The sequence below is a fragment of the Homo sapiens genome, chromosome 8 (genome assembly GCF_000001405.40).
Source record: "Homo sapiens chromosome 8, GRCh38.p14 Primary Assembly".
In the NCBI taxonomy this organism is placed as follows: Eukaryota; Metazoa; Chordata; class Mammalia; order Primates; family Hominidae; genus Homo; species Homo sapiens.
This window is the reverse complement of record NC_000008.11, coordinates 39,146,744-39,160,869: the sequence shown is the minus strand read 5'-3', so window position 1 is coordinate 39,160,869 and position 14,126 is coordinate 39,146,744. Positions and strand designations below refer to the sequence as shown.

Below are 14,126 nucleotides of genomic sequence, written 5' to 3'. Positions count from 1 at the left end.
ACATGAAAAATTTCATAATTTTTTTACTTGAACTCTTCTTTAAAGCTAATACCACAGCACTTACAAGATATGCAGAGGTGTTTGCTTTATCAAATTGGTTAAAATTAATAAATAAAGTTTTAAGTTTTATGGCAATGTACTCAAGTAGTTAGAAGATTGCCCATGAAGTTGTAACATCTATCTCAGTATATCTACAACTTCCAATTTATGAACTAAGAAAAAACACCTAGCATTTCCATCTACTTCATCTGCATATCAGAAATAAACTTTTGCTTTAAAAACTATATGTGTGTGGAGGATTTTTTTTTTTTTTTTTTTTTTTTTTTTTTTGAGATGGAGTCTCGCTCTGTCGCCCAGGCTATAGTGCAGTGGCGCGATCTCAGCTCACTGCAAGCTCCGCCTCCTTGGTTCACGCCATTCTCCCGCATCAGCCTCCGGAGTAGCTGGGACTACAGGCGCCTGCCACCACGCCGGGCTAATTTTTTGTATTTTTAGTAGAGGCGGAGTTTCACTGTGTTAGCCAGGATGGTCTCCATCTCCTGACCTCGCGATCCGCCCGCCTTGGCCTCCCAAAGTGCTGGGATTACAGGCGTGAGCCACCGCGCTCCTTTCTGTATTTGTGTCCTTTGCAATATGACTTTTCAGTGCCTGTCATCAAGAGGTGAGTTCATTTTTCCTCTCTCTCAATCTGGGCTGGGCTTTGTAACTTGTTTGAGCCAATAAAGGCAATAGAAGTGTTGTTTTGCCAATCTTGAGCCTAAGTCGCCTTTCATACTGCCATTCCTGATCTTGGAATCCCTGCCTGTACACATCTGGCCAGACTGCCAGATGATAAGAGCAAATGGCCTATTCACGCAATTGCCCCAGAAAAAAACATAAAAATAAAAAACAGGACAATGCTTGAGGGGGGAAAAAAGCTGCTGGGTTTCTATAAGGGAGTATTGTGGTCCTTGAACTGACCCACCTACCATCCCATCTCACACATCCAGCTCATTGGCATCCATTAAGATAGAGGCCCATATTCCTGGTGTGGCTTTCCCGTGCCAGAGGAAGAAATACCAAATTTGTTCTCAAAGAATTATGGTTATGTGTTTTGAGCTGTCCAGTGGCTCCCTAAAGGTTTTGCTCAAGAGCTTTCCTTTGTTTCCTCCACCATGAAATTTCACAGGGTTGGAGTGGACTCCAAGGCAGTGTTTATAAAAAGCATTTCAAGGCAAATACACTGGCTGCAGCCACCTGGAGCAAGGAAAAACGGACAAGAAAAGCAGCAAGCACACTAAAAAGTCTAGGAAGAAAGAGGCTGAGGAAGGAAATGGGTGGAGAAATGAAGGCTTTGAAAACCTCAGGCATATACTGGGAAATCTAGAGGGCCACCCACATGTCCAAGGCTGGACACTTGCTCAGAATAGACTTGAAAAGACACTAAGCTTTCTCCTCTGCCTGGCTTTCAGACATTGTACAAGCAAGAGTCAAGGCTAAGGGTGAGTTGTCAACATCTGGAATAAGTGTTGCATGTATATCCAAACCCAGAGTCAATCTGTAAAAACCAAGGAAGTCTTTTCTCTTTTTTGGCTCCAGTAATTTAAAGAAATCTCTATCAAATCACTTGGTGACTACTAAACAATATTGTTCACAAAATATTTCTTTACTTTAGAAAAGTCAGTAAACAAGCAAACAACTACAACCCACAACAAGCAGTAACAACACACCTTGCTGGGGAGTGAGGAAGAATCTGATTTCCAGCATTACCACATCAAAATATTCAAAATGTTCAAATTTCAACAACAACAAGAAAGTAGTATGGCCCATTCTCAGAAAATAAAGAAACAGAAATGGTACCACTGGAAGCCCAGACATTGTACTTACTAGACAAATAATGTAAATTAATTGTTTTAAAATATGTTCAAAAAGCTATGAAAAACTATGTAAAAAAAACTAAAGGAAACCAGAAGAATGATACTTCACCAAATAGAGAGTATCCATAAAAATATAGAAATTATAAAAAGGAAATTGTGGAGCTAAAAAGTAAAACACATGAAAATTCACTAGGATTCAATAACATAGTTGAGCAAGCAGAAAAAAGGAATCAGCAAACTTCAAAACAAATCAATCAAGATTATTCAATCTGAGGAGCACAATCAAAGAATAAAGCAGGATTTGATGGCATGATGTCTCGCAGGAAATCTTTTGCTCCAAGACATGGGTCCCCGGGCTTCCTGCCTTGGAAACACAGCAGTAGGCATCATGGCAAGGTGAAGAGCTTCCCCAGTGATGACCCTTCTAAACTGGTCCACCTCACAGCTTTCCTGGGATACAAGGCTGGCATGACACATCGTGTGGGAAGCTGGCCGGCTAGGACCCAAGGTGAACAAGAAGGAAGGGGTAGAGGCTATGACCATTGTGGAGACACTGCCCATGGTGGTAGTAGGCATCCTGGGCTACATGGAAACCCCTCAAGGCCTCTGAATTTCCAAGACCATCTTTGTTGAGCACATTAGCAATGAGTGCAAAAGGCACTTCTATAGGAACTGGCATAAAGCGAAGTAGAAGGCTTTTACCAAGTACTGCAAGAAACTGCAGGGTGAGGATGACAAGAAGCAGCTGAAGAAGGACTTCAACAGCATGCTTGAATATCTACACCCAGATGCACCTGCTTCCTCTATGTATGAAGAAGACCCACCTAATGGACATCCAGGTGAACAGAGGCACTGTGACCGAGAAACTGGACTGGTCTCTGGAGAGGCTAGAGGACCAGGTACCTGTGAAGCAAGCGTTTGGGCAGGACAAGATGATTGACATCAAACGGGTGACCAAGGGCAAAGGCTACAAAGAGGTCACCAGTCATTGGCATACCAAGAAGCTGCCCTACAAGACCCACTGAGGGCTGTGGAAGGTTGCCTATATTGGGGCATGGCATCCTGCCCATATGACCTTCTCTGTGGCACGTACTAGACACAAACTATCACTGCACTGAGATCAACAAGAAGATCTATAATATCAGTCAGGGCTACTTCATCAAGGATGGCAAATTGATCAGTGCCTCCACTGACTATAACCTGACAAGAGCATCAACCCTCTGGGTGGCTTTGTCCACTATGGTGAAGTGACCAATGACTTTGTCATGCTGAAGTGCTGTGTGGTGGGAACTAAGAGGCAAGCGCTCATCCTCCACAAGTCTTGATGCAGACCAAGCAGCAGGCTCTGGAGAAGACTGACCTTAAGTTCATTGACACTACCTTTAAATTTGGCCATGGCCGCTTCCAAACCATGGAGAAGAAGCATTCATGGGACCACTCAAGAAAGACCAGATTGCAAAGGAAGAAGGAGCTTAATGCCAGGAACAGATTGTACAGCTGATGGGATCTCAATAAAAGTTATCTGACACTGAAAAAAAAAGAGTGAAGAAAAATGAACAGAGCCTAAGAGACCTGTGGGACACCATCAAGCTCATAAATAAGAAGAGTTCCTAGCAGAAGAGAAGAAAGGGGCAGAAAGAAAATTTGAAAAATAATGGGTGAAAACCTCCCCAGTTTGATGAAATATATGAATCTACACATCCAAGAAGCTTAACAAACTCCAAGTAGAATAAACTCAAAAGAATTCACACCAAAACATATTATAATCAAAGTGTCCAAAGTTAATGATAAAAAGAGAACCTTGAAAACAGCAAGAGAAAAGCAATTCCTCACAAATGAGAGATCTTCAATAATAGTAATATCTAATTTCTTATTAGAAACCAGGGAGGCCAGAGGCAGTGGGATGACATTTAAAGTGCTGGAGGGAAAAAAACTGTCAAACAAGAATTCTATATCTGACAAAACTATCCTTCAAAAATGAAGGAGAAATTAAGACATTCCCAGATAAATAAAAACTGAAAAAGCTCATTGCTAGTAGACTTGCCTGCTTATTATAGGCCAAATGGTATCCCAGTAAAATTCATATGTTAAAGATCTAACCCCAGTATGTCACAAAATGAGGCTGTATTTGGAGACAGGGCCTTTAAAGAGGTAATTAGATTGAAAATTAGGTCATTAGGATGGGCTCTGATGCAATGTAACTGGTATCTTTATAAGAGAAAATTAGAACACAAACACAGAAGGAAGACCTTGTGCAGATACAGGGAGAGGGTGGTTACTTATATGCCAAGCAGAGGGTCCTCAGAAGAAACTACAACTTAGTTAACACCTTGATCTCAAACTTCCAGGCTCCAGAATTGTGAAAAAATACATATCCTTGTTTAAGCTACCCAGTCCATGGTAAATTGTTATGGCAGCTGTAGTAAACTAATACACTGCCCTACAAGAAATGCCAAAGGTAGTCCTTCAGTTTAAAATGAAAGCACACAAAACAGTAACAAGAAGCAATAAAAGAAATTAAAAACACAGTAAAGGTAAATACATTGGTAACTATAGAAGATATTATTATAGCTGGGTGCAGTGGCTTACACTTATACTCCTGGCACTCTGGAAGGCCAAAATGGGAGGACTGCTTGAGTCCAGGAGTTTGAGACTAGCCTGGGCAACAAAGGAAGACCCAGTCTCTACAAATAAACAAATTAACTGGGCATGGTGGCACATGCCTGTGGTCCCAGCTAATTGGGAGGCAGAGGCAGGAGGATCACCTGTGCTTAGGAGGTAAAGGATGCAGTAAGCTGTGATCACAGCACCAGCACCACACTCCAGCCTGGATGACAGAGTAAGACCCTGCCTCCAAAAAAAAAGATACTATTATTATATTTTTGTTTTGTTATTCCTCACTTTTCCCCAAATTATTTAAGAGAAAATGTATCAAACAATAATTATTAAGCTATTGTATTACTATACAATAGCTTGTACATTGTATTATCATTAACATAGCTTAATGTTATTAGATAATTTGTGATAATAAAAACATAAAGAAGACAAAGCTGTATAGCAGCAGCGTTTTGTATACTATAGAGGCTAAGTTGGTATTAATTCAAACTATGATTGTTATAAATTTAAGATGTTATTGTAATATCCAGAGTAACCACTAAGAAAATAATCAAAATTACATAAAGAAAAATAAATGAGAAGGGAATCAAAATGACATACTAGAAAAAAATCCACTAAACAAAAGAAGGCAGTAATAGAGAAATAGAGACAAAAAAAGATAGAAGACATATAGAAAACGATTAGCAAATGTCAAATTAAGTCTTTATTGAGCCCAGGAGGCAGAGGTTGCAGTGAGTCGAGATCCACAACTGGTGCTCTGTATGGCTTAGACATCTCTTTTCCTGAATCTACTGCCACACTGCTCTTTATATTTATTGTGTCATCTTGCTTCTGCACATCAAGGAAAACCCTACTACTTCAGAAATTAATCCATCCATTGACTATTTTACTGGTATAAGCAACTATATCTTGAGTCTGTCAGTTCAGGAAGCCTCACATGTTTGGCCTCTCTCAATGTCATGCTATTGTCACATAAAGGTAGAGCTATACTGCCTCTGTTACTACCATTATTGCCACTTTGCTCTATGCATCCATCCAGGCTATTGAAATTCTTGACACAGATTACCATAAATTACAATGACATGCAGTAACTAAGAAAGCATATGAGGACAATTTGATTTCCTCTCTTCCAATTTGAATATCCTTTATTTCTTTCTCTTGTCTGATTGCCCTGGCTGGAATTTCCAATACTATGTTGAATAGGAGTGATGCCAGAGGGCATCTTTGTCTTGTGTCAGTTTTCAAAGAGAATGCTTCCAGTTTTTGCCCATTCAGTATGATATTGCCTGTGGATTTGTCATAAATAGCTCTTATTATTTTGAGATACGTTCAATCAATACCTAGTTTATTGAGCGCTTTTAGCATGAAGGAGTGTTGAATTTTATCAAAGGCCTTTTCTGCATCTATTGAGATAATCAGAATGGGAGAAAATTTTTGCAATCTACCCATCTGACAAAGGACTAATATCCAGAATCTACAAAGAACTTAAACAAATTTATGAGAAAAAAAAAACCATCAAAAAGTGGGTGAAGGGTTTGAACAGACACTTCTCAAAAGAAGACATTTATGCAACCAACAAACATATGAAAAAAAAAGCTCATCATCCCTGGTCATTAAGAGAAATGCAAATCAAAACCACAATGAGATACCATCTCATGCCAGTTAGAATGGCAATCATTAAAAAGTCAGGAAACAACAGATGCTAGAAAGGATGTGGAGAAATAGGAATGCTTTTACACTGTTGGTGGGAGTGTAAATTAGTTCAACCATTGTGAAAGACAGTGTGGCAATTCCTCAAGGATCTAGAACCAAAAATACCATTTGACCCAGCAATCCCATTCCTGGGTATATACCCAAAGGATTATAAATCATTCTACTGTAAAGACACATGCACACATATGTTTATTGCTGCACTGTTCACAATAGCAAAGACTTGGAACCAACCCAAATGCCCATCAATGATAGACTGGATAAAGAAAATGTGGCACACATACACCATGGAATACTATACAGCCATAAAAAAGGATGAGTTCATGTCCTTTGCAGGGACATGGATAAAGCTGGAAACCATCATTCTCAGCAAACTAACACAAGAACAGAAAACCACACACCACATGTTCTCATTCATAAGTGGGAGATGAACAATGAGAACACATGGACACAGGGAGGGGAACATCACACACTGGGGCCTGTCGGGGAGATGGGGGGTAGGGGAGGGATAGCACTAGAAGAAATACCTAATGTAGATGACGGGTTGATAGGTGCAGCAAACCACCATGGCACGTGTGTACCTATGTAACAAACCTGCACGTTCTGCACATGTACCCCAGAACTTAAAGTATAATTACATATATATATATATATGAGGAACTTTCTGTTTGTCTTTTACTTGGCTGTTTTTCTTTCCTCCAACACTTGTCCAGACAAACGATGATATCTGTGGGGATCCAGAGCTTCCCAGCTTTCCAGATCATGCCACTTTCCAAATGATACATACAAATGCAATTTGGCTGACATATGTGCTCAAATAACTTTATTGTAGTAATTATCACTTCATTGTAAAATAAGTATGTGAAAACTTCCTGATTTTCAAAGGAAACCCAAAGACAAATCTGAGACAGGATTTATATGTAGATAATTTACTAATAAAGTTCTCCCAGGAGAGACCAGCTAATGAGTGGGAGAAGCAGGATTAGGATCAGGAGGAATCCACACAAGAGTGTGCTCTCAGACACAGTCCCACAGAGAAAATCTGGTGTGTAAGTTGTGCTACAGAGTTGTCCTGACCTGTAACAAGAAACCAAACTCACCCTTTCCCACACTGGTGAGGTGCTGGCTAAGGACCACCCTGGGGAAATGTAAATCTCCAGTACTTATGTTTACCTTGCCATCTGGGCAAAGCAGTTTCAGTTGGCTGAAGGGCAGCCCACATAAAAAAGAGTTACAAGTGGCACATGTTCAAAGCAAAGGCATAAACAAAGACATGGTGTCCCACCCTCCTGCATCATCCCCACAAAAATATACTAGAAAGGAATATGAGGGGTTCTGGGCAGGGCACTGACATTGTTCGCTACACTGGGTCATCTCAGTCATTGTAAATTAGAAATTTTCACAAGGCAAGAAAAAAAAGTTCAGCATCTAGTTCACAAACATTATTTGAAATTATACATATATATTTGCTAGCATTGAAAACTCTGGCACTGCACTCTCATTTGGACCCTGTATTATTTAAGATATAGGATTGCCGTCTACACAGAGACAGAAAATAATAGTGAATTAAGCAAACTTAGAGTCTATTTCTCTCTCACATAAATTTGTGAAGAGGTATGGTAGTTCCATTCTGAAAATTCTTCAAAAGCAAGGCTCATTTTACCTTGTTTCTCTGCTACCTGTATGGCGTCAGCCTCATCCTTGTGGACCATTACATGTCAGTATGTCCACACTCCACCCAGCAGAAAAGGGAAAGAAGATAAAACCCCTCCTTTTAATATTCAAGCCAGAAGTAACACATATTATGCTTGCTCACACGTCATTGGCCATAATTTTGTCACATGGCCCTACCTAGAGGTAAGGGAGGTTGAGAAATATTGTCTTTGTTTATATGCCCAGCTAAATTCTGAGGTTTGGTGTTTTTTTCTTTTTTCTTTCTTTTTTTTTTTTTTTTTTTTTTTTTTTTTGAGATGGAGTCTTGCCCTGTCACCCAGGCTGGAGTGCAGTGGTGTGATCTCAGCTCACTGCAACCTCCACCTCCCAGGTTCAAACAATTCTTCAGCCTCCGCTCCCGAGTAGCTGGGATTACAGGCGTCTGCCACCATGCCTGACTAATCTTTGTATTTTTAGTGGAGACGGGGTTTCACCATGTTGGCAAGGCTGGTCTTGAACTCCTGACCTCAGGAGATCCACCCAACTTGGGCTCCCAAAGTGCTGGGATTACAGGTGTGAGCCACCATGCCTGGCCTGGTATTTTTTTCTTTACTGACAGAAAACAGGGAGAGCATATACTGGAAACAATGAATACTGCCACATACTCTTGTATAAACTATGCATAGTTATGCCAATGTTACTTGGTATAAAAATTTTCTCTTTCACAATTGCTTGTGTAAGCACCAACACATGCAGTTACATAGTGTGTTCACTGAACAATTTACATGACCATAACCGGCAATTCTGTTTATGACATTTTAATTATATCTATGATTTAATTAATGCTGACTCGTTGGTCATGAATATAACCTTTAAAATTATTGACTTTATTGAGTAACTTCCAGGAATGTAGGAGCAAAAGCAGGAACTGAGTTTTTAAAGTTTATATTGCATATACAAGAGGGAATTTTTGGAAAGTAATAAGAATGTAACAAGCAAAATAAGAACAAAAATAAAGTGAATCATAAAAAGTATGGTTTCAAGGAAATTGTTAGGTAACAGAAAGATGAACAGCCAGGCACGGTGGCTCATGCCTGTAATCTCAACATTTTGGGAGATTGAGGCGGGTGGATCATTTGAACCTAGGAGTTTGAGACCAGCATGGTCTGTCTCTTTTTTGTAGAGACTCTGTCTCTACAAAAAATTAGTCTGGTATGGTGGTGCATGTCTGTGGTCCCAGCTACTCAGGAGATTGAGGTGGGAGGATTGCTTGAGCCCAGAAGACAGAGGCTGCAGCAAGCCATGATCAGTCCACTGCACTCCAACCTGAGTGAGAGAGTGAGAAAAAAAAAAAAAAAAGATAAGATGTTCACAAGGAAAGGATATTTGCTACAATTCTACAGTGGGCTTATAAATTTATTTTTTAAATAAATTAAATGGAAGTAATAACTGCTTTAAAAGTAGTAATAAAACATATACAACTCACTTTTTCACTTATAAAAATGTTGTCATCCATTGGTTGTTCTTTCAGGCTTCTGTCAATAAAAATTGCAATATCATTGTCTTCATTCTTTAATTTGTAAAGAACATGCTGAAATTCAACTGCAGATTCCAGAGGCTCAATTCCATAAGAAACATTTTCAAATTGCAGTATTCCTCTGTGAAATTATGAATACAATTTTAAGTGCTTTTAATCAAATCTATATAATGAATTTCTGACAAAATCCAAAAGAAAAAAAAATAAAACGTTTTGAGTCCAGTATTTTTTTCTGAATTCTGTCTTAGAGATGACTCTGAAGAGACAAAAGATTTCCCAAATCCACAAAACCCATTTTCTATTTCGTTTTTGTATAGTTGTAAGAGCAGCAGAAGTCACTTAATCAATTGCTAGGTACACAAGTATATAGCATAACAGTAATTGAGTAATTCTATTGTTTTCCAAGTCAGTGTCTCAATTAAAGCAATTGTAAACAGAAATCATGATGACTTTCTCTCTGGTTTGCCATGCTTTTGAAAAATGATTATACTGCATATATGACAAATGTATATAATAAGAAACTTTACTTTTAAAAATAAAATTTGGCAGAATTATGAAATATGCCATGCTTTTGAAAAATGATTATACTGCATATATGACAAATGTATATAATAAGAAACTTTACTTTTAAAAATAAAATTTGGCAGAATTATGAAATATTTGTTACTTTTGCTTATATAGTCTGAATAAGAAATTAAAAGCAAGATTTTAAAGAGTAAATGACTTGTATCACTATTTTTCTGTGAATACAGGTGGCAGCCCAAGTCACTACTCCCTAAAATATAAATTTCAGATCCAAATTTCAGGCTTCTATGTAGGAAGCACTGAAGAAGAACATTTGTTTGTGAAAACAAACACCCTACACTACAAAATGAAGGTGGAAAATTTCCTGACAGAATGGAAAACTCCCTAAGCCGTAAGGAGGAAACCCAGTAATTCTTGAAGAGCTCAAGATAATAATATCATCAGAAAAATGAGTATTTTTATGAGTATTAAAAATTATTTGTTTTTATATAATTTGCCTCCTCAGTCTGAAGATGATTTCCTTGAGAAAAAGCATCTCTTCTTTATCTTCATATCTCCAACATTAAAACACATGGTGGGTAACATAAATACATTTTCAGTCCAGTATTTTGACTCAAACCTGTCTTAGAGATGACTCTGAGAAGATAAAAGATTACCCTAATCTACAAAACCAGCTCTCCATTTCACTTTTTTATAGTTACAAAAGCAGCAGAAATTACCTAATCAATTGCTAAGTGTGCAAGTATACAGCATTACAGTGATTAATTTCCCTGTTTTCCAAGACAGTGACTGAGCTGTCCTAAACTTAGCTCCTAAAACACTTGTAGTCAAACATGTTCAATTGTCTTTTCTGTGGTTAAGGAAACGTAAGACATAGAGCAAGGAGACTAGGAAATCTAAACCTTTGAAAAGGTTAGAAATGTCTCTGGTCACTGAGGAAAGTGAGGAGAAATAAGAGAATTGGAAACATGTTCAGAGGGGGATATCATTAAATAATCTCCACATAGGAAAGCTCCTTCAACCCCACACTTAATACAAAGAGAACAAATTCACTGCAGCCAAATATCATAACTAAGGTGTTCTGTAATCAACAACAGAAAACAACCTTAGTCCAGAGCACGTGCTGAGTGTGACCATGGAATCTGGATATCCTTCAATATTTCCTTGATAGTAGCATTGAGTCTAGGAAAGAAAAAAAGTAAAGTAGTCACTTAGGAAGTAACAAAACTTTCTAGTGATTTCCTACTTCTATACTTGATAGAACCTTCTGAATATTTTTCACAGGCTCCGTGATTTATATCAGTACAAGTAAGGTGAAATTCAGAAAAAAATTCTCCCCATAATTGCCACTTACACTATGTTAACTACACTTTATAATAGATTATGACTTGAGATTACTATTTTACACCCTGCTTCCAAAATGTTGTCTCATGTTTTAGGTAAAAATATCTTCCAGTACATAAATTTAGATCCTCAATTAAAAGACAAAGATGATGAATCTGGATTTCTTTAAAAACTCAATTAATATGATGCTAAAAAAGAGTCATAAAAATGCAATGACACAGGAAGATTGAAGGGCTAGATGCCAACACAAACCAAAAGGATGATGCTGAATTTGCACTAAGAGAGGAAATGTGGACTTTAAGGCCAGAAACATTACTAGAGATAAACAGGGACATTTGGTAATGATAAGCATTTCAATTTGCCAGGAAGACATAAATATTCCAAATTGGCATTCACTTAATAACACAGCTTCAAAATATATAAAGTCACAATTGAAAGAATAGTAAAAATTAAAAAATCTACAGTTATAAAAAAGTTTTTTAAAGTTAATTTCTCTTAGTGACTGATAGATCAAGTGTTCAGAATCTACAGAAGGTTTGGACAACGTGGTTAGTATGACCTAGTTAACATATGCAAAATACTATACCTAAAAACTTTAGAATATATGCTTTCTAAACACTCATGGAACATCTACAAAATAGAAACCATACTCCAGGCCATAAAGCAGGACTCAATAGATTACAAAGGAATTAAATTGTATAGAGTTGGTCTCTGAGCACAGTACAATCAAGCTAGAGACACACAGAGTCACAAACATTGTCACAGATGTGAAAATTATATAATTTCCAATATTCAATGGTGCTATAAATTTTATTATAAATAAGGTTAAGATTTCTTATTAACACACTGCTTTATGATGGAACTAAGGGAAGGAAAAGGGAGCAATAAAGCAAAATGATGATCCCATCCAATGTAAGTGAAGCAACATATCTAATTTAATATTTCAGCAAATTTTTATTATATTCCAAGTATGTGCTAGGCACTTTTCTAGGCACTGGTGTTACATCAGTAAATAAAACAGACCAAAAGCCCTGCCCTCGGGATGATTATATTGCACTGGGGAGACAGAAAATAAAGTAAATAAATAGAATATATATGATACATCATGTATTGATAACTGCCATGGGAAAAAGGCAAAAAAAAAAAAGGTAAAGGAAATAGAGTATTAAGAGTAAGAGACCAATTTAAAGTAGGGGTTAGTCAACGACTAATAGGGTGATTTTGAGTAAAGACCTGAAGGAAATGAGGATGAAAAACATATGGGTCTGTTGGGAAAGAACAAGCATTTGGATACCAGGAAATAGAAAGTATGAAGTCTTTGAAAGGAGAACATAGCTATTATATTTGAAGAACAACAATGCTGGAACAAAGTGAATGAGGTAGAGAATAATAGGAAATGAGGTCAGAGAGGTAAAAGGGAACCAGGTGACTCTGGCTTTCACTCTGTAAGTGGTGGGAAGCCATTCATGCAGGGTTCTGAGCAGAGAAGCAGGGTAATCTGACTATGTCTTAACAGGATCAATATGGTCACCATGTTGAGAACTGACTGAGGCTGGGTGCGGTGGCTCACACCTGTAATCCTAGCACTGTGGGAGGCCAAGGCAGGTGGATCACCTGAGGTCAGGGGTTCGAGACAAGCCTGGCCAACATGGTGAAACCCTATCTCTTGATAGGGTTTAGATAGAAAATTAGCTGGGCATGGTGGTGCATGCCTGTAATCCCAAATACTCGGGAGGCTGAGGCAGGAGAATCACTTGAACCCAGGAGGTGGAGGTTTCAGTGAGCCAAGATCGCACCATTGCACTCTAGCCTGGGCAAAATAAATAAATAAAAACAAAAATAAATGAATAAAATAAAGGGATAAATAAATAAAATGAAGGGATGGACAGGTGAGGAAGCAGGGAGATTATTCAGGAAGTTATGGCAATGATCCAAACTAGAGATGATGTTTACTTGGAAATGGGTGGTCTCAGTGGGTGAAGGCAGAGGAAGAAGGTGGATGCTGGACACTTAGTTTGAAGGGCAGGGTCAGTAGGATTTATGGATGTATAAATAATGGATGAGATGAGGAAGAGTTAAGAAAAAAACAAAGAGTTTTTGATCTGTGATTTGTGTCTCATAACATTCATGTCCACTTTTCTTGTTATTTAATTTATATTCTTACAAACAAAATATAAATAATAAATATTTTATTTAACAAAATATCAATTAAATTAAAAAATAGTGACTATGTTCTCAGCAATGGGAAAGGTGCTAAGTCAATCTAATTTGTCTTTACCAAAACTTCAGGAAACCCTGATCATTAATCAACAAATGTCTTAAATATATCCCCTGTGAATCTTGAGAGCCTTCTGTATAATAAAGCATTTATTTAATGTAAAAAAATTTAAAAAAAACTATAAAACACAGAATTTAAATCTTACCTGAATATCTGAAGAATAAGTATTCATAGATCCTTGATTGTACAAATAGATCATAAAATTATCTGCTAAAAAATATCTGAATATAAAAAAAGAGGAAATTTTTTTAATTATTCTTTTTGAAACATATAAAAACATAGTAAACTTAACACTCTCAGCCAAAATCTGACCCACCCTCTGTTTTGTAAATAAAGGTTTATTGAAACACAGCCATACCCATTCACCCACATATTGTCATGGCTCTTTTCATGCTGTAAGATGAGAGATTAACTAGTTTTGACAAAGAACATATGGCCTTCAAAGTCTAAAACATTTACTATCTGAATCTTTAGAGAAAACGTCTGTCAACCTGATATAAAGGTAGTATTTTCTTTTGACATATATTTAATGTTTACTTAAAGCAATATACGTTTACTCAAAATAGTTTTCCTACCTTAATGGACTCCTTTTAAGAAAAAAAGAAGA

At 37.5% G+C, this 14,126-nt stretch overlaps 1 protein-coding gene and 1 pseudogene across 11 annotated transcripts in view; one reads left to right on the top strand and one right to left on the bottom strand.

Moving 5' to 3' along the window:
• ADAM32 (ADAM metallopeptidase domain 32) overlaps positions 1 to 14,126 on the bottom strand; it is a 177,389-nt gene that overhangs the window by 124,048 nt on the left and 39,215 nt on the right. For all 11 annotated transcript variants that reach the window (NM_001313994.1, NM_145004.7, XM_011544433.3 and 8 more), the window contains 3 exon segments: positions 9,322 to 9,493; positions 11,003 to 11,079; positions 13,665 to 13,740. In NM_001313994.1, coding sequence (NP_001300923.1) covers positions 9,322 to 9,493; positions 11,003 to 11,079; positions 13,665 to 13,740 — 325 coding nt within the window.
• Positions 2,151 to 3,388, top strand: RPL3P10 (ribosomal protein L3 pseudogene 10; annotated as a pseudogene).